This window comes from Homo sapiens, chromosome 6 (assembly GCF_000001405.40).
Source record: "Homo sapiens chromosome 6, GRCh38.p14 Primary Assembly".
NCBI classification, from domain to species: Eukaryota; Metazoa; Chordata; class Mammalia; order Primates; family Hominidae; genus Homo; species Homo sapiens.
In genome coordinates, this window is record NC_000006.12 from 77,118,977 (window position 1) to 77,140,713 (window position 21,737).

A 21,737-nucleotide genomic window follows, 5' to 3' on the forward strand; every position below is an offset into this window, starting at 1 on the left:
CCTATGTTTACTCCTTCCTAGGTATAGTACCTCTTTACTACTAGAACGTTTTCTCCTCATCTCTCTAGTTAACACAAGTAGTACCAAAATGAGTTGTGGTTTCTTTGAGGTGGTGTTCAGCTTGCCATTTTTGTGGCCTTTTGCTCAAATGCTTCAAAAAGTTATTCTTTTAAGAAACATAAATTATAATTTTTTCTATATGTCTATCATTGAACTGTAACTGTCTTGAAGTTAGCACTTCATGGGATATGAAATATTCCCGAAGAACAGAACAAAAAGCAAAAAATATTCCTTCTTTAATACTTTACAATGAGACAAATAACTGTCCAGAAACATCACTATCTCATAGTGACTTGGCTGAGAATATTTTTTAAAGGCAGCTCATGGGAATTCAAATTAAAAGAAGCATTCTTAATAAGTGCGGAACAAGAACAAAGAAGGTCACTTGCATATTTTAAATGTTTAATGTCATTAGTCTCTTAAAGCTTGCTTTCTGTGATGGGGGCAGACATACATAACACACTTAAAAATTCTTTGGTTGCTCCCTGGACTATTTTTGTTGACCATTATCTCTTCTACTCTTCCACTTATCTGAGTTCATATACTTTTCATCCATTCAGTTGTCCTCAAGGATCAAAACATATTTTCCCTTTTGGTAATGTTCACGATTTCTTCTCATCTTGTATGCTTATTTTACCTTTTAAGGAAAAATATAATTTCCTTCATTGCCAAATTCTTAGGCTGCCGCCATCTTTTGCTTATATTTTATTAAATCCTTCTATTAATATTTCAAATACATAAATAAAATCATTATGATAGATGAACAGCTTATGTCTTCAATCTGAATGGGTAATGGAGATATTTTGTGTTTTCTTAAGTAAAACAAATTCAAGCCCAACATTTTTCTCTAAATAGTCTCTAGTTTTCTATTGTATCTTTTATTTAAATTTCTTATTTCAGTCAAATATACAACATGAAATAATTTCTCAAGAAGAAATCCTCTATTCCAAAAAGCAGGGTCTTCAGAGGGCCCCGAATTTTAAGATCCTATTTTAGTGTGAGGTGTCTACAAGGTCATGTCCTCACTGGAAGACTGCACTATGGCAGCAATCATTTTTGTTCTTTATTGTTCTCAATTCTTTATTATTTTAGTGATTAGTGTAATGAGAGTCTAAGAGTTGTGTATTAAATTGTTGGACAATGAACTGAGAGCATAAAACCTTGCTCTTTTATCTGTTCCTATCTTCTTCCCCTCATGCCACCTTGTAACCAGACCTTGTAATCAAAACAGAGATGTAGGAATACATCGCTGTATTCCTAGTAGTGAATACCAGGCTCTATTAGAGTGCTGATTACACTTGGTCTTTGTGTTCTTTCCCTGCCTGTGTGCTCCTCAAATATGATGCCCAGATGTTTTCCATCTCTGAGTACTCGATGTTCAAAGAGGTTTGTTTTTGAACTGATTTCATTTGATTTTTTAATTTTGGTATCTATAAAACTTAAACTAAAAGTATTCTGAAATTTCTTCTGATTTTCAGAAACATTCCAGAGAAGAATTTATTTGTTTTGGGAAATTCTGATATAGTCTGAAAGGATTGTGTTAGAACAAATACCATTCCATTACTTTTTCCAGGCTCAGTTTTTGTTGTTTCATTTATTCTTCAGGAGCTTTCAGATTCCAGCTGTCTAGTAGGAATCAATGTATGTATTATTTTGTCTTTTCAATGTCAAACCTCATAGTGACTTGAGTGAGAGTCTCTTTTTATGACAATGAAAATGTGAAACTATATTTAATACAAAATATTATTTGAGCAAAACATATAAGTTTCCACTGAGACTTTATCAAATACAATTTAAGATAATTTCAAGCGATTACACATTCTCCAGGGGTATCGATAGGTGAACTTTTCTGAGCAACTATTTCTACGATGTAATTTAAATATAAAATGTCCTAGTTATGTACATAATGATGGTTGTGTGTGTGTGTAAAATCTCTTTTTATTTTGCCTAAATGTATCCACTTCAAAATTATTGTCACCAGTTTATGAGCTCTAGTTTAGCCATTTCCATTTTCAACTGCATCTGACAGTCTTCCACCAGAATGAAATTACTCCCCTGGAATTCTCCTAAATTGACAAATAGGCTCTACCCTTTCAGAGTGCTAAATCTAGGTGCTAAAAACAACAAAAAATTATCCCCCCAAAAATATCCCTTATTTCTACTAGCAGGTATTTTCTCTTTCAATACCATTAAATTGTCATTACAAAACTTGTCATTTATTTCCAGAATCACTCAATATACCCAGAATTACAACCACTCAACTATAAATGCCATTTAATTTAATAGCAATAACAATAAAAGGTTATGTATAATGTGTGATTTTTTAAGCTAAAATTGAAACAGAACATTTCAAAGTGGCTGAATGCTAACATAAATTGCCATTTATTATCTATTACATAAACAAAAGCAAGACAAAAAATTTATACTTTTTGCTTCCCCTTAGGGTAAGAGATTGCTGAAAGGTCACCTGGGATTTCACTCACCACCTTCAGCCTGGAAGTATCACTGTCACTCCCTGCCTGACTGTAAAGGTGCTGGGACATGTAGACTTTTCAGAGGCTCCAAAGGAGTGGAGGATAGGAAATTTTTACTTAACATAGGGAGAAGTCAATGACAAGAGGCATTATCCTAGGTGAGAGCAGAATATATTCAACTTATTCTTAGAAAAGCTCTATTTATAGGTCATTTTAAAGATATGTGAAATGAAATTCTCTAATTATTTTCTTTTGAATGCAGACTATATGCCTCAGTTTTTATATTTGTTAAATGACAGATTTTTAAATAAATGCTCACAAACTTCCCTTTCAATCACCCTATATTGAAGTACAAAAAACAGTTCTATAATATGATTATACACTTTAATAATTAGTTTTATAAAAGCTCAGATAAGTAAGGGGTGAAAACCTGTATGATTCATGAAGCAGTTAATTAGTTGGAGATATCAGTGTAATCAGTATAATACAAACACAGAAGAAATACAGAGGAATACATATGTAAATATTTATAGATATAGGTATATATAAAACTTATTATACACACATATATTCCCTTCCTTTGTTAGTTGAGAGGGCCTAGAAGCAAGGGTTCCTCAGTGGCAATGAATGCTCCAAGTGCCCAGATCTTTCTTTCCAACATCATTCTCCAATAAAATGAACCAGGACTTCTTGGAGATATGATTGATTCTACGGCTAAGGCAGGGAATGTACAAGATGCCTGTGGAACATCTTATAATGCCAGAAAGAGAGAAAGTGCTTCAACAAACACACACACACACATACACACACACACACACACACACACACAGAGTCACACACATTAATGGGGGTATGTCAATGGGACACAGGAGTCAACTGAAAAAGCTCTCAATGGCCAAAGCTGGAAATAATTTAGCAATAAGTAAAGGAGTACCGGTTTATAACACAAAATGCAAAACAAATAGCCATAAGTTCATATTAATATAACTAAATGATTAAATAAATAAATGGGCAGTTTAAACAAATATCACATACAGAAGAATCCAGAGTAATTTATGTACATGCATTTATGGTGCAACAGAACTCCCCACTCCTTAATTTTAGGCTGCGCATAGTGATCTTCTCCCAGAGGTGCAGTATGAAAAAGAAGTATTGAAAAAAACACCTTACAGTTAAAAAAGAGGAACTTGAGTAAAAGAGTAACTTTACAGAAATCTGACAAGCAATATCTCAGTCAGGTATGTGAAGTTAGCATCATCCGTGATAATTCAAGTTGATAGTATCTGCCTGGTGATAGAGCAGAGGGCCCCCCACACAAAGACACACACACACACACACACACCAGGATCTCTGCACAGGAAGAGTGGGGTGGGTCAGGCTGCTGGTTCGGGCAAGCATGTGCTCTGAATGCCTGGAGATCTGCTTGGAGGTGGGGTAGTTGTACTTTTGAATGCAGCTTAAAATTAAGGAGAAGAGAATGTCAGTTTACCTCTGTGTTCTTCTTCTCTAAAACCCATGAACCCAATCTGCTACTGAGAAAAACATCAGACAAATTCCAGCCAATTACCTTTCCATAAAATACCTGACCAGTACCCCTCAAAATTGTCAAGGTCATAAAAAAAACCAAGGAAGATCTGTGAAACTCAGTCTAGAGGAGCCTAAGGAACTAAGACACTAAATATAACATGTTATCTGGATGAGATCCTAGAGGAAAAAGAGAACATTAGGTAACACTGAAAAATTTGAATAATGTATAAACTTTTGTTAATCCTAATGTATTATGATTTATTCATTATTTGTGAAAAATATACCATAGTAATAAAAAGTAGGGGAAACTATAGGGAGAACTAGGTATGGTCCACAGGGGAAATCTTTGTACTATAATTGCAACTTTTCTGTAAATTTAAAGTGTTTGTGTTTTTTTTTTTTCCCCTAAGATGGTGGATTAGAGGTTTTTAGTGTGCCTCGGCTACTTGGAAATAGCGAGACAATGCATAAACATCAACTCTGTGAGCTTTAATTCAAAAAGGAAAATAGGAACACACTAAAATTATGGACACTCCAGATCCCAGGGAGGATAACATAGCCAAACAGCCCCCATGACAGCAACTAGCTGATAAAAGTGAGTGAAACCCCAGTATGTGAAAGAGACAGAGAGCCTCCTTCTGTGACTCACCTTTCCACCGAAGAGTGAAGCATCCCAGGCTGAGGGAGAGTACTTTCTCCCAAGTGCTGGTGCTAACTTGGGGAGAGGCTTGGAGGCACTGAAAGGGAATGACACCAGAAGCTGCAGGCATTTTTCCAGATCTAGGACTGAGAGCAAGATGCCATTTTTTATCTGGGCTCATACAAACTCATCTGTTCATTGGCAACCCGACAGCGTGGCTGTATGGACATTTCTGTCTTGGGCAAGAGATTGGGGCCCTTGTTCTGGAGTGAGTGAGGGGACTTAACAGACAGAATTTTGAAAAGCAGCTGAGTAGTAAACTCTGGAATTGTGCTCTGCCCTCTCACAGACCTGGGGTGGTAGGAAAGCTGCTACTGCCGTGGTTTCTTCTGAGTGACAAGTGGCCTTGAAGACAAGGCCAACTTGATGACCTGGAGCCACTCTGCATGTGTCATTGCTAGGTACCCCAGACTACTCCACTGAGATCATGGTGCAGTGGAGCCCTCTCTGCTCTATGACCAGGAAGAATTCCAGGCATTTGGAGCACTCACTTGCCTGAACCTGCAGCTTAAGCTACCCCAACCTTCATGGAAGCAGATTGTGGTGCAGTGGGACCCTCTCTGCCCCAACCCCAAGCAGATCTTCAGGCATTCAGAGCACATGCTTGCCTGAATCACCAGCCTGACCCACCCCACCCTTCTTGTGCCGAGATCCTGGGGTGAGTGTGTGTGTGTGTGTGTGTGTGTGTGTGTGTGTGTGTTGGAGCACAGGGGTCCTCTTTGCTTCATGGCCAGGCAGATATCCATAAATCTGGAGCACTCACTATCCTGGATTAAGAATTCAGGTTGCCCCACTTTCTGTAAAGAGAACTTGGGGCCTAGGAAGTTTCCTAGGTCCATGTCTAGGCTCGCCTCTGGTTGCTTAGTGTCTGTCCTCTGGATTCTCCTTCAGCACTGGTGATTGTGCCTGCCATTGGAGGACCTGCAGGTTGGCCTGCCTAATCTGACCACATTTATTTTGCTTTTCAAACCTCCCAGGGTAGAGCAGGGAGCTCAGACCACTGTGCACTCCATGAATCAGCCCATTGCCTGAGGTAACAGAGAGCTTCTGAGACCCAGTAAACAAAGATTAAGTATACACCTAGCTATGTTGGCTGCAGATAGCTGTTACCCATAAGCACCCTCTACTGCCTTGTAAGTCAAACTGCACAGCCCAATACAAAGTCTGATAAAAGAACTGCATAGGGTTATAGAAGCAAAGCCAATATATCCTACCCAGCATTCTCTACAGTCACGCCACCTTGGGAAAAGGAAAAAGAAAAAAGGAAAGTAAAAGGCAACAATAATATTATAGGGAAAGGAGGGAAAAAATCCTACGTGCATGAAAATAATTACAAAAATGAGACGTGCCGGTGTCTTTAGATGAAAAGGAGTAAGCACAAGAATTCTGGCACCATGAAAGATCTGAATGTGGGATTCACCAAAGGATCTCACTATCTCTCCAGTAATGATTCCTAACCAAAATGGAAACTCAGAAATAACAGATACCCTAAAACTTAAAGTATAATAATAACAAAATTAAAAAAAAAAAGAAACTCAAGCCAAAAAAAAAAAGAATTCAAAGCATGGATTGCAAGGAAGCGTAATGAGATCTAAAACAAGGTAGAAAATCAACACAAATAAACTTCTACCCCAATCCAGGAAATGAAGGAAGAAATAAAAATCCTAAAAAGGAGTCAAGCAGAGCTTCTAGAATTGAAAAAAAAAAAAAAAAAAAAACTTAAGTAATTTCAAAGTACAACTGAAAGATTTATCATTAGTCTGAACAAAGCAGAAAAATTTTAGAACTTGAAAATCAATCTTTTACAGTCAGACAAAAATAAATAAAAAACACTTTAAACAAACATAATATTTGAGAAATTTGAAATTCTGTAAAGTAACCAAGCCTATGAATTATTGAAATTCCTGAGAGGGGAAAAAAGGTAAACAAATAGGAAAACATATTTGAGGAAATTGGTAAAAATCTCTCTAATCTTGCAAGAGAGATAGCCATCCAGATACAGGAAATTCAGAAAACATCTGAGAGACAATATATGAAATGAACATCACTAACTCATATAGTCATCAGACTGTCCAAGGTTGACACTAAAGGAAAAATCCTTAAGGCAGATAGAGAAAAAGTCAGATTACATACAAAGGAAACCCCACCAGGCTAAGAGCAGACTTCTTAGCGGAAACTTTAGAAGCCTGGAGATACTATGGGTCTATTTCAGCATTTTTAAACAGAACATCCAAGCAAGAATTTTATATCCTACCAAACTAAGGTTCATCCGTGAAAAAAGAAATAAAATCTTCCAGGCGAACAAGCACAAAGAAAATTTGTTACCACTAGACCAGCCTTACAAGAGATACAAGGTTCTAAAAATGGGAATGAAAGAATGATACTGGCTACCATAAAACCACATTTAAGTACATAGCCAACAGACCCTATAAAGCAACCATATGATAGAAACTACAAAGCAACCAGCTAAAAACATCACAATAGGATCAAAGCCATACATATCAGTATTAACCTTGAATGTAAACAGTTTAAATGCCCCATGTGAAAGGCAAAGAGTTGCCAGTTAAATAAACAAGACCCATCCATCTGCTGTTGTCAAAAAATTCACCTCACACATAACAACACTCATAGTTTCAAATAATGAATTGGAGAAAGATCTATCATGCAAATGGGAAAAAAAGAGCAGAGATTGCTTCTGTTATATTAGATAAAATAGACTTTAAAGGATCACTAACAAAAAAGGACAAGGAGGTCATTACATAATGATAAAATTTTCAATTTAACAAGGAGATTTAACTATTCTAAATATATATACACTCAACATTACAGCACCCAAATTTGTGAAACCACTACTTCCAGATACATGAAAAGACTTGGATGGCCAGGCAGTAATACTGGGGGACTTCAATATCCTACTGACAGTGTTAGATAGATCATTGAGGCAAAAAACTAACAAATAAATTGTGGAGTTAAATTTGACACTTGACCAATTGGACCTAATAGACATCTACAGAACGCTCCACCCATCAACCTCAGAATACACATTTTTCTTATCCGCACTCAGAACATAGTCCAAGATTAACCACATGCTCAGCCATAAATCAAATCTCAATAATTTCAAAAAAAAAAAAAACCGGCCAGGTGCGGTGGCTCACGCCTGTAATCCCAGCACTTTGGGAGGCCGAGGCGGGCGGATCACGAGGTCAGGAGATCGAGACCATCCCGGCTAAAACGGTGAAACCCCGTCTCTACTAAAAATACAAAAAATTAGCCGGGCGTAGTGGCGGGCGCCTGTAGTCCCAGCTACTTGGGAGGCTAAGGCAGGGGAATGGCATGAACCCGGGAGGCGGAGCTTGCAGTGAGCCGAGATCCCGCCACTGCACTCCAGCCTGGGCGACAGAGCGAGACTCCGTCTCAAAAAAAAAAAAAAAAAAAAAAAAAACCAAAATCATACAAACCACACTCTTGGATCACAGTGGAATAAAAATAGAAATCAATACCAAGAAGATCTCCCTGAACTGCACAGTTACATGGAAATTAAACAAATTCTTCCTGATTGACATTTGGATAGACAACAAAATTAAGGCAGAAATCCAAAAATTCTTTGAAATAAATGAAACAGAGACGCAACATACCAAAATCTCTAGGACATAGCAAAGCAGTGGTAAGAGGTTAGTTTATAGTGCTAAATTCCTACCTGGACATCTCAGATTAACAATCTACCATCAAATCTAGAGGGACTAGAAAAACAAGCACAACCTAACCTTAAAACTAGCACAAAAAGAAATAACTAAAATCAGAGCAAAACTGAACCAAATTAAGATGCAAAAAATCCATTAAAAATCAATGAAACCAAACTTAGTTTATTGAAAGGATGAAAAAGATTAATAGACCACTAGCTAGATTAATAAAGAAAAAAAAAGATCCAAATAAGCACAATCAGAAATGACAAAGGAGGCATTACAACTGATCCCACAGAAATACAAAAACCCTCAGACACTATTATGAACACTTCTATGCATATAAATCAGAAAATCTAGAGGAATTGCATAAATTCCTGGAAACACACAACCTCCCAAGATTGAATCGGAAGAAATTCAAACCCTGAACAGACAAATAACAAGCTCCTAATTGAATCATTAATTAAAAAAAAAAAACTAGCAACCAAAAAAACCCTAGACCATATGGATTCATAGCAGAATTCTATGAGATGTACAAGTAAGAGCTGGTACCATTTCTACTGAAACTATTCCAAAAAAAATGAAGAGGAAGGACTCTCCATAACTCACTCTATGAAGCCAGCATTATCCTGGTACCGAAACCTGGCAAACACAAAATGAATAACAATAATAATAAAACTATAGGCCAATATCCCTGAAGACAATAGACACAAAAATCCTCAACAAAATGCCATCAAACCAAACTCAGCTGCACGTCAAAAAGTTAATTCATCATGATCAAGTAAGCTTGATCCCTGGGATGCAAGGTTGTTTCAACATATGTGTACGCATATGAATGGATGACATTCACCACATAAGCAGAATTCAAAACAAAAACCTTATGATCATTTCAACAGATGCAGAGAAAGCCTTCAATAAAATCCAACATCCCTTTATGATAAAGCTGTCAACAAATTAGTCACTGAAGGAACATACCTCAGAAAAATAGAGCAATCTCTGAAAAACCCACAGCCAACATCACACAGAATGGGCAAAAATTGGAAATATTTCTGTTGAGAATTGGAACAAGACAAGTATGTCCACTCTCACTACTCTTATTCAACATAGTGCTGGAAGTCCCAGCCAGGTTATCAGGCAAGAGAGGGTAATGAAGGGCATCCAAATAGGAAAAGATGAAGTCAAACTATCTATCTTTGCTGACAATATGATTCTATAGATCAAATACCATAAAGATTCTGCCCAAAGTCTCCTGGAACTGATAAATAGTTTCAGTAGAGTTTCAAAATACAAAGACAATATACAAGAATCAGTAGCATTGGTATACACTAATAATATTCAAGCTGAGAGCCAAATCAAGAACTCAATCCCATTGACAATGGCCACAGGAAAAATAAAATACCTATGAATCCATCTAACCAAGGAGATGAAAGGTCTGTAAAAGGAGAACTACAAAGCACTGCTGAAATAAACCAGAGATGGCACAAATAAATGGAAAAATATTCCATGGCCATGGTTGAAAGAAACAATATTGTTAAAATGGCCATACTGCCCAATGCAATCTACAGATTCAATGTTATTCCTATCAAACTATCAATGTCATTTTTTACAGAATTATAAAAGTCTCTTCTACAATTCATATGTAACCAAAAAAGAGGCCAAAGTCATCCTAAGCAAAAGGAACAAAGCCAGAGGCATCACATTACCTGACTTTAAACCATACTACAAGGCTACAGTAGCCAAAACAGCATGGTACTGGTACAAAAGCAGACACATGGACCAATAGAACAGAATAGACAACTCACACATAAAGCTGCACACTTGCAGCCTTCTGATCTTTGACAAAGTTGACAAAACTAAGCAATGAGAAAGGACTTTCTATTCAGTAAATTGTGCTGGCATGACTGTCCAGCCATATGCAGAAGAATGAAACAGAGCCCCTATTTTTCAGTATATATGAACATTAACTCAGTTTGCATTAAAGATTTAAATGTAGGCTGGGTGCGGTGGCTCACACCTGTAATCCCAGCACTTTGGGAGGCTGAGGCAGGCAGATCACCTGAGGTTGGGAGTTCAAGACCAGTCTGACCAACATGGAGAAACCCCGTCTCTACTAAAAATACAAAATTAGCTGGGCGTGGTGGCACATGCCTGTAATCTCAGTTACTCAGGAGGTTGAGGCAGGAGAATCACTTGAACCCAGGAAGCAGAGGTTGTGGTGAGCCGAGATTGTGCCATTGCACTCCAGCCTGGGCAACAAGAGTGAAACTCCATCTCAAAAAAATAAAAAATAAATGTAAAACATTTAAATGTAAGACATCAAAATACAAGAATCCTGGAAGAAAGCCTAAGTAACATCATTATGGACATCTGCTTTGGGAAAGAATTTATAACCTAGTCCTCCAAAGCAATTGCAATAAGAACAAAACTTGACAAGGGGAGCCTAATTAATCTAAAGAGATTTTGCTTATCAAAAGAAACTATCAACCTGGTAAACAGACAACACACAGAAAGGGAGAAAATACTTCTAAACTATGCATGCAACAAAGTTCTAACATCCAGAATCTGTAAGGAACTTAAACAATTCAACAAGAAAAAAACAACCTCACGAAAAAGTAGGCAAAGGACATGAACCAACAAAAGGAGACATACAAGTGACCAAGAAACAAATGAAAAAATTCTCAACATCACAAATCATCAGAGAAATGAAAATCAAATTCATGAGATACCATCTCATACGAATCAAAACGGCCATTATTAAAAAGTCAAAAAACAAATGATGCTGGCAGAGAAAAAGGAAGGCTTATACACTGTTGGTGAGAATGTAAATCAGTTCAGCCACTGTGGAAACCAGTTTGAAGATTTCTCAAAAAACTTAAAACAGAATTACAATTTTCCCCAGCAATCCTGTTACTAGACATATATGAAAAAAAAATCATTCTACCAAAAAGGCCTATGCACTTGTATGTTTATCACAACACTTTTCACAGTAGCAAAGACATGGAATCCACCTAGCTGTCCATCACTGGTGGATTGGATGAAGAAAATGTGTCACGTATAAAACATGGAATGTTATGCAGCCATACAAAGAATAAAATCATGTCCCTTACAGCAACATGAATACAGCTGGAGGCCATTAGTCTAAGTGAATAAATACGGGAACAGAAAACCAAATGCCACAAATTCTCACTTATAAATGGAAGCTAAATATTGGGTATTCACAGAATTAAAGATGGTAATAATAGATACTGGAGATTACCAAAGGGGAAAGGGAGGTGAGGGTGGGAGGGCAAGTGTTGAAAAACTAACTGTTGGGTACTATGCTCACTTCCTGGGTGATGGGTTCAATCATACCCAAAACCTAAGCATCACACAATATACTCATGTAGCAGATGTGCACATGGACCCCCTGAATCCTAAACAAAAGTTGAAATTATATAAAAAAAGTAAATAAAATAAAACTATTATAAATAAAAATTATATTAAAAATTGATAAATAGTCCAGGCGCAGTGGCGCATGCCTGTAAACCTAGCACTTCAGGAGGGTGAGGTGGGCAGACCACCTGAGGTCAGGAGTTTGAGACCAGCCTGACCAACATGGTAAAACCCTATCTCTACTAAAAATACAAAAATTAGCTGGGCATGGTGGCAGACGCTTGTAATTCCAGGTACTCGGGAGGCTGAGGCAGGAGAATTGCTTGAACCTGGGAGGCGGAGGTTGCAGTGAGCCAAAATCACTCCATTGCACTCCAGCCTGGGTGACAAGAGGGAGACTTCATCTCAAAACAAACAAAAATGATAAGCAAATTCATATTAGAGATATGCTTCTCAAGATTAAAACCACTTACTAGTTGTATGTTGCAGTAATTTTAAATCTGTGTACATCAGTTTCCTAGTCTGTAAAATGCAGATGATAATACTTAACTAATAAGCTTGTTGAGAATATAACGCAACTTTAAACAGAAAGTTTTATAGCAATGTCTGACGCTTAAAAAGCACTACATGTGTTAGTTATTGTTTTGTTCTATTGTACCTGTTACTACTCTGTGCCCTTCTGCTTTGCCATTCTGCTGTTGCGGACATATCTTCTCTAGCAACATTTTCTCTATTGCGAGCTAGATCATTTGGTCTAGCACACACACAAAACCCTCTCCCATGCCAGGGAACATTTGGCAATGTCCGGAAATGTATTTGATTGTCACACTAGGGTGGAAAATATGAAGTAGCTGGAAGGTGGGAATGCTGCTAAATGGCCAGTGATGCGAAGGATAGCCTATCACAACAGGTAATAATTATCTCACCCAAAATGTCAATAGTGGTGAGGTTGAGAAACTCTGAGTAGCATCTTGCTTCCCAGACTTATCTTTAATATAAACAAAGAAATATGAAACACTGTCATTTGTATGCTTCCAAGATAGACTGAGACTTATACAGCAGGTCATATGTTTTTTATAGATTATGAAAACTAAGACCTTCTAAATACTCTAAGATATGTGGTAAAAGCTTTAAAAACAATAACAAAAATCAACACATCTTCAGTAAAATCAGATTAAGGCTGAATTAATTGGAGGTTTTTTTTTAAGTTTTCATATTCTTTGGAACCAGAAATTGTTTATCTGGATTAAGACTTTCTCCACATAAAAACATCAGAAGCATTATAAAATTCATTTCAAATAGTTTAGGATATTAAAACCACCTTATGAACAATCTAGGGATGACCGTAATTCTATTAATTTGTGAGCAATTTACTTAAACTTTAAATAAGAAATCCCCTGCTTTTGGAAATTATAGATAAAGAAAAAGTTCTTATTTTACTTATGACATTCTGGGATATACTACACAACTTTTTGAAAGGTCATTTAAAAAATACTTATTTGTAATGAGAATAAAAATTCTACACAGTCTAATTTCACCTACATCAACTGACTAAATAAGGGTCTGCAGATAATGGAAGGTTTTAGAAAATTTTCTGCTAAACTCCTTGATATGTTAAAAAATACTAACATTAGCTGTTTACAGAAAAATACTAATATACTAATTTTTTGTTTAGTATTTTATCTACATGTAAATGTGTAATATATGTGCTTGTTTCTGCAGAGATAGATACTTTGGCAAAATTCTTCACTCTACATTTCTGTTTGAAAATAACTGCATCATTCTATGGTCATAAATCTCAAAATGTATATATAACTAAAGATATAATGCACATTGATATATGTATTATATTTTTAAAGAAGAAAGCATGCTATATTTAAAGTTTTCATCAATATTTTAATGACCATCTTCAAAGATTGATAATTTATGCCAGTAAGTTAGGGCCATATATCTCAATTATATCTTCTTGTCAAAGGTATTCTGTGGAGACTCGTGGGGAAAGAAACCTAAGATACATGAAGAGTTTTAAAGATTTTAAAAATCAATTTTGGAGTGCTTTATGAGACTATAAATTCCTTGCCAGACACAAAATGCTATATGTCTCTAGTTGTGTGCATTCTCCATGAAAACATGGGTATTGAAAGCAGAGCCTGTTATTTTGCACAACATCGAATTCTCAGAAACTAACTCAGTCTTGCGATAAATAATTTTGAGTAATTAAATGACAATGGGCCTTTAGGTTCTGGCCATGAATGCCTTACCCTCCACGACTACAATATATATATATATATATCAAAATAAAAAATATAAAATGTTAAAAAGAACTTTCTGCAGGCACTAGACAGCAACTAATACTGGGCTATGATTTTCAAGAGACGGATGGCACACTAAGTGAGCCCATGTTTACACCGTATTTACTCCTTGAGGGCACATTCTGAACTACAGTGCAAACGGAGAGCCACAGAGTGGGAAGAAACAGATTGGCTTCAATACTGCTAAGGCAGCAAAGATGGAGGAAGAGTCAGATTACTGGAAAGAAGGTATCTACAGAATAGAAGCCCTAGATATCTATGAAACATTTCCATCCGATCTTTGGCCACCTTCTAAACTGTAAAGGCAAGGACTGTGACTATTGCAAGTGAGAGAGAGAGAGAGAGAGAGAGAGAACAAGGACAAGAAATTGACAGGAAGCTAAAGATATTTCAAAAGTTGCTGAGTGTTGGAGCAATGTTGACTTTGATATTCAGGCCCAGCCAGAGTGGAGGAGCCTTAATGCATACCTTGGCTGTTGAATGAAGATTCCAGAAAAATACATATCCTATCTGTAAAGCCTATGAAGAAGAACTATACCCTTGGAGAAAGAGAAAAATTAAAATAGAACTATCCCAATCAAGCCTAAAACCATGCCTCAGGAAGATTAGTAAAATCAGCAGGTAATTTGGCTACAAGACAGAACTAAATCCACTACTCTTTGGGGGAAAATAACATAGTCCAGAGCTCCTATATTATGTCATCTTCAATATGTTTCATTAATCAAAATTTACTAGATACATTGAGAAGAATTTGACTGATAATGAAGAGTGAAGGCAGCCAATAGAAGTAAACCCAGAGATTATAGCGATCCTGATCAGCAACAAGAACTTAACTACATCTAACATGTGAAAGGAAACAGAACTAAATGTGGGTAAATTGGATGAATCAATAGAATATTTCAATTGAAAACAGAATCTAGAAAAATAATCCCATGACCATTCTAGAGCTATAAAAATAAATATATGGAATATAGAAAGGCTTAGTAAATTAGTGGGCAGAAAATTATCCAGAAGGAAACTGAAAGACAAAAAAGAATGAAAAACAACTTAACTAAACAGGATGTAGCAGAGATAGATATATTAAAGGATGTCCCATGTATGCAGTTTGTATCACAAAAAGCAGAGATAAAACAATGGTAGTTAAACTATAGTAAGATTTTATATTGTGGAAGATGGTAAAAGTACTAACATAAAGAAAATTGTTTTAAGCTAAGCTTGCATTTTGTAATTTCTAGAATAATCAATAAATTAATTATACTGAAAGCATCACAAAAATGAAATTAAAAAGCAAGCAGGAGACAAAATGGAAAAATTTAAAAATACATATTTTGGAATAATACAAAAGAAATAAAGAAAGAACAAATAAAGGAACAAGTCAAAAAGACAAAAACATATCAGGATGACAGACTTACAGGCAATAATAACAGTAATAGGTTAAATGTAGATACAGTAAAAATAAGATTTTAGATCGGATTAAAAGATAGAACTCAAATAGTTCTGAAAGACATTAGGATTGAGAAAATAAAAGAATATAACTTTAAAGGAAATAGGAGAAATAAAATGATAAAAATAAGAACAGAACTAATGCAATTTAAAACATGCATTCATTAAAGAAAATAAACAGATGCAAAGGATTCTTTTTTTGTAATGATTACTAAAACCACTAAATAGCTATTAAAAATTATGATAAAAGGAGTCAGAAATTACTATTCACTAATATCAGGAATAAAAAATTTCATATCATAAGAGATTCTATAAACATAAAAAGGATAATAACACAATATTATTTGTCAATAAAGAGCAAAGAAAATGAGGAAATATGAATTACTTTATGACACTAAAATCGGCAATTTTGACAAAACGCACAAATTCCTTAAAAATACAATTTATCAAAATAAACATGAAATGCATAATTATTAAATGTAATTATCAATATATAAATATACTTAGTATTGCTATTAAAATACTACACATTAAGTATTTTTATTAAGTGCATTTAATAAAACAGTTATGTAATCATTAAACTAATTGAAATGTATCTAATAAATTTTAAAAATTGATTAGACCAAAAACTTCTTATGAAGAAAACTCCAGGCCTCTGGAGCTCTTCTCTGATGAATTATATCATACTCTGAAGGAAGAAATAATACATATGTTACATATTTTTAATTTTGAAAGTACACAAGAATTAAACACTTACCAAGTTATTATATGAGGCCAGGGACATTATATCAAAAGGAAATTACATACCGATACTACTCTTGATAAGACAAGCAAAATCATTGTCAAAAATCAACAATGTAAATCCAGAAATATATTTTAAATGCAATAATGGTTGATTCATCATTAACTAATTCACATAATGCATCACATAAGCATAATAAAAATGTGTGAGTCTACAGTAGATATAGAGAAAACATTTGTTAGACTTCATCAATCATTCATAATAAAAAAAAAATCTTAGCAAATTTGCAATAAATGATGGTTTCTTCCATCCAATAAAGGGCATTTACTAACAAAATACTTTAATCATATTTAATGGTGAAATATTAAGATGAGGAATAATACAAGCTTGACTTCTCTTACTACTTCTATTCGACATTATATTGCAAATCTTAGTCTGTGCTCTAAGGCAAGAAAAAGTCACAAAAATTAGAAAGAAAAAATTAAAGCTGTTTATTTGTGGATATTATGGATATAAACATAGTAATTGTTAAGGTATCTGCATAGATGTGAACATGAATGAGGAGCTCTGGGTACTGAAGTTAAAGTGATTTAGTTTTCACTATCCAAAAATAAGATATATTAAAACAGTTCAGAATAGACCTATGAAATTTTTAAAATATACGGCCTGAGATTCTTGTACTCTTTCCTCAGCACCCAAAAGAAGCAGCTCAATTTTCCTACAACAACTTCTGTCAATAAATGTTTTCCTCACTGAAAAGGCAATGTGTAAAAATTCATCTTAGAATTTTCTACAATTTATATTATCCATGGTTTGTAGGGTCCATTTTGCTTGATGACTTTGTTTTGCCACATGTGCTGAATAAGTGAAAAGAAACAGTTCTTAGAAGAAAGTTAACAAAAGTCTATCTTGTTAGTAATAATAGAACACTAAACTCTTACTCACACCTAAGAGTTGTTAAGTCATCATACTTGTATTTGCTTAAATGTTCAAATGACTCAACTGAAATAATATTTTCTTTCTTTTCTTCTTTCTGACTAAAATGGAGATAAGGTGTGTTCACCTTGTCAAGAATTCTCAATGATTCATATTATTCAGATAATTTTTTTCTGCTTTTTACTGAAATGACTTGGTATTTTCTTCAATTTCCAAAATGTTTTTCATAAGAATTGATATATTAATCCTCATGATCTGAAGGAGTTTAAAAAAATTAATTGCTCATATATTTGAAGAGTTGAACTTAATTACCTAATACTGTAAGCTTTTCTACATTACATTTCCCTGTTTTATCATGTTCTTCTTCAACAAGATAATTTTTATAATCCAAATTTTTTTCCCATGGTGCTCCCTTCCAATACAAACCTTTCAGCTAGCCCAATAAAATCAACATCATGTTGATCAATGCATGGATTACTAAAAACTCTCTAATTGCTCTTCCACAGCAGTGCTCTTCCCTGCTTACTCGGTGTTGCTTAGATGATTGTTAAATGTCTCTTCTTTTATTGTTAGTATTATCACTATTTAATGAATGGCTTTCTAAACTATATAGGCTCAAGAAGACATCATTGTTACATACAAGGTGATCCTGGAGTTGGACTACTTTCATTTGAATTCTATACTAGTTGCATGATCTCGGACAAGTTGCTTAGTCTCCAAATGCCTTTGTTTCCTAACTTGCAAAATGAGGATAATAACAATATCCTATTCATAAAAACATTTTGAACGCTTGTAAATGAGAAAACACAGGCAGAGCACTTAGTAGAGAACATAGAATATTCTAGGTATAAAAGAAATGTTGATTATTAGTGCTATGCTATTGCTGCAGCTAATGCTATGAAAACTTTCAGACTGTGAGCCTCTCAAGACAAGAAATTGTTTCTTACTCATCTTTGTATTCCCAGCAAAAAACAGAGTGCCTAGCATAAATAACTGTTGGCTTAGTAAGTGAATGTGTGAATAAATGTGATTACTAGGTCTATTCTCTACTAGCACTTTTGTGTATATACCTTTTTTGTATCATTTGACAATAAGGTTTCTTTACCATCATCATCATCATGATTATTATTTCCATTTTGCTTGTTTAAAGACAACAACCCATTCCTTTTTAGATTCCCATTTGCTGACTTTTAAATGGTTTATAATATGTAAAATAAAGTGGGATATCAGAAAAAGGTGAAGATATTTTAGAAACATACATTTTAAACTCCCCTCTCTTCTAACACCTACCAAAAAAGTACTCACAAAATAAAATAAGTATGATGGATGAATGGATGAGAGAAATCTTCGTGCATTACAGGCCTAGCAACTTTCCAGAGAAAATTGTCTGGGATGCCTGATGAGCCCAGGGCTTCTAAGTTAACAGTAGCATCTGGGGAAATATCCACGGAATACTTGGCTGTTGGAGGTGTCAGAGCATTGCTTTGACAGTTTTAAGAGCTGTCTGTTATATACCTACTCTGCTAGTGGATTCTGAGTTGACGATGGAACTTAAATTGCTTCATTATGTCTTGCAGGATCACACCATCCTCCCTTGTACATGAAGAAACCTGGAAGCAGAGAAGCCATCCACTCTCCCCATGTCAGTCAGCCAGTGATCCACTGCAAAGGTAAGTTCATGTTCTGCAACTGGTTTATCACTTCCTGTCAGTGAACAATTTCCCTACTTTGGAAACAATATCCGCAAAGATAAAAGTAAATATGCTTATTTACAAGGAGTTGTGGATGTAAGGGAGGACAAAAAAAGCTAGATGTTAAAATTGTTAGCTCCTATGGAGGCAGTAGAAAACATTTAGGAGTGATACTAAGGACTCTCAAGGAGAAAAACATAAGATACAAAACAATGTAAAGAAATAAGATCATAATTTCTAAATGTAATAATTCAATGGATAAACTGGAAGAAAAATCTGATACACATGTTCTAAAACTAAGCGGTAGGCTTCACAAACTTAAAAAAAATTCCCATAATGTTTAACAAAAAAATTAATGTAAATAATAAGAAAACATACTAATGCCTTCAAGGGCAGATTCAAAAGCACTAACATGCAAGTAATGTTTTTCCAGGAAGAAAAATAATAAAAGATAGATACAATAATTAATGAAATTATGAAAAGAATCTTACATTAATAGGAATGCTGGGTCTCCTAATGAAAATAAATTAAAAATTTTATTCAGGGTTAATAACTAAAACGTAAAAAGACACACATTTAGATTTTACCTAGACAGATACTGATAACAATTCTATGTCCTAAAAGTAAAAAAAAATTATCAGCTTCCATACAGAAATATAAGTTTTTGAATTAGGAAAAAAATATACTAGTGTTACACTTCTTGAGTACAAAATTAGAAACCAGAATATAGGAAAAAATCTTTATAGAAAATGAGAAAGGGAAAATAATATTTACACACACACAGAGAGAGAAAGAGAAAGGGAGAGAAGGGGAATTTTAAATATCTAATAAGACCCTACTGAATGGAAAATAGAATAATACCTGTTTTATTTTTATTTATTATTATAATAAAATGGAAATCAAATATTTTAATATATGATAAAACATGGTTTTAGTCTAGTAATAATAGGAAAATAACATTCAAGATGGAGAAACAAACTAAGCATTTATATGGACCTACTTCATAAAAAGTAGGCAATAACAAAAGTGTTCAAGTCAGAAAAACAACAGAAAGTCAGAGGAAAATTTTGGCATCTGTTATTTTCCTCCTGGGCATGTGTGTATTTGGTCACTAACTGCACTTATACAGCAGGTGTAAAATAAGGCTGTTCAAAGATATATGAGTATCTTAGTTATAAAATATAAAATTAGAACAAAATGGAGATCATAATTTAAAAATTATAAAATACAATGAATAGTATCATGTAAAGTGGACCTGAAGGACAAAACCACTGACAAAGTGATTGTCTACTGAAGAAGGTAAAATAACTAGCAGAGAAGCACATCAAGGAAAGAACTACTGTAAATGTAATGAGAAATTCATGTGATCGAAATACTCATCTTTAAGAATTTATCAGGCTGGGCACGGTGGCTCATGTCTGTAATCCTAGCACTTTGGGAGGCCGAGGCAGGAGGATCACTTGAGGTCAGGAGTTCAAGACCAGCCTGGCCAACATAGTGAAACCCCATCTCTACTAAAAATACAAAAATTAGCTAGGCGTGGTGGCGTGGGCCTGTAATACCAGCTACTTGAGAGGCTGAGGCACAAGAATCACTTGAATCCGGGAGGCGGAGGTTGCAGCGAGCTAAGATTACCCCATTGCAATCCAGCCTGGGTGACAGAGTGAGACTCCATCTCAGAAAAAATAAATAAAGAATTTATCAGATCAAGTAAACAAGAATAATCATAGATTTTAAAGATTTTCAATAGTTAATAAAATTTAATATATAAATATATTTATGTATATGCATGTACATATTTGTGTGCCATATATACTACACATATATGTAATACCTATGCTATACATATAGATGTAGCATATACAAATATGTGGTATACACACACGCCCAAGTGTTCATTATAGTCTTACGATATGGAATATCTTGGTAAATATGTCTTACATTTGTCAATATATTTACAAAGTAATGGATATTTTAGGTCACAATCTAATTGCCCTAAAATAAAACTAGGTCAGCACAGAAAAGATGGCCAAATAATTTGAAGTTTCTGGGAACTAAGAAACAAAGTTGCTATACCAATAGAATGTTGTCAAATTTCACGGAAACCCCTTCCCAGGCCAACCCCAACTCAATTTCAAGTGCTAATATTCAAAACCACTAAGGATTTCCAGTATATTATTTTAGGGTTCTTTTATCTCTATGATTTTAGTAGATATTTGAAGTCAAGTTAACCCAAAACCTGGCATGATTTTCTACCAAACAGTAAAAGAGCAAAGCCCCAGGGGACTCAATTAAATTCAATATCAAGATAGAATATGGTGAACATATCTGTTATGAAAAAAATTATCATCAGCTAAGGATGAGCATTTAAAGAATAGTACAGAAGAACTTTATGGGAAGTGTCCAATATATAAAATAGAATATTTCACAATGCACTTTTTATATATAGTCATAGGCAATAATTCAGGCCAGCGTACATCTACCTTCCAAAGGAATTATACCAGAAGATTTCCCTTCCTGGAATGCATGATGTAGCACGGTTTCATGTAAGTAAAATTAGAAACCAAAACAGAACTTGCAAGAACAATAGAAATAGAGTTGTTGAGCTCTTTTAGAAACAGAACAGATGGCCTCTAAGGTAAAGAAACTAATAATTCTTGCATGAGCAGGAATCTTTGATATTAGTAATAGGTCAGAGCAATGAGATGGTGAAAAAGGAGAATGGAAATCAAAGCCACAGAAACATGATGAAAAAAGATGATCAAGTTTGTGAACAGGACCACAATTCTCTTTTTTCCTA

The 21,737-nt window shown here is 34.8% G+C and overlaps 1 long non-coding RNA gene across 2 annotated transcripts in view, besides 1 other annotated feature; it reads right to left on the bottom strand.

Annotated features, from left to right (window-relative positions):
- Positions 1-21,737, bottom strand: part of LOC101928570 (uncharacterized) — a 248,816-nt gene that overhangs the window by 50,313 nt on the left and 176,766 nt on the right. The window lies entirely within an intron of this gene.
- Positions 13,438-13,607: an enhancer, noted in NCBI's record as "experimental_95029 CRE fragment used in MPRA reporter constructs". NCBI's record gives its function as "activates a minimal promoter by MPRAs in K562 erythroleukemia cells, with activity observed for both the introgressed and non-introgressed 6:77842216 variant alleles {active_cell/tissue: K562}" and the evidence as "EXISTENCE:reporter gene assay evidence [ECO:0000049][PMID:34662402]".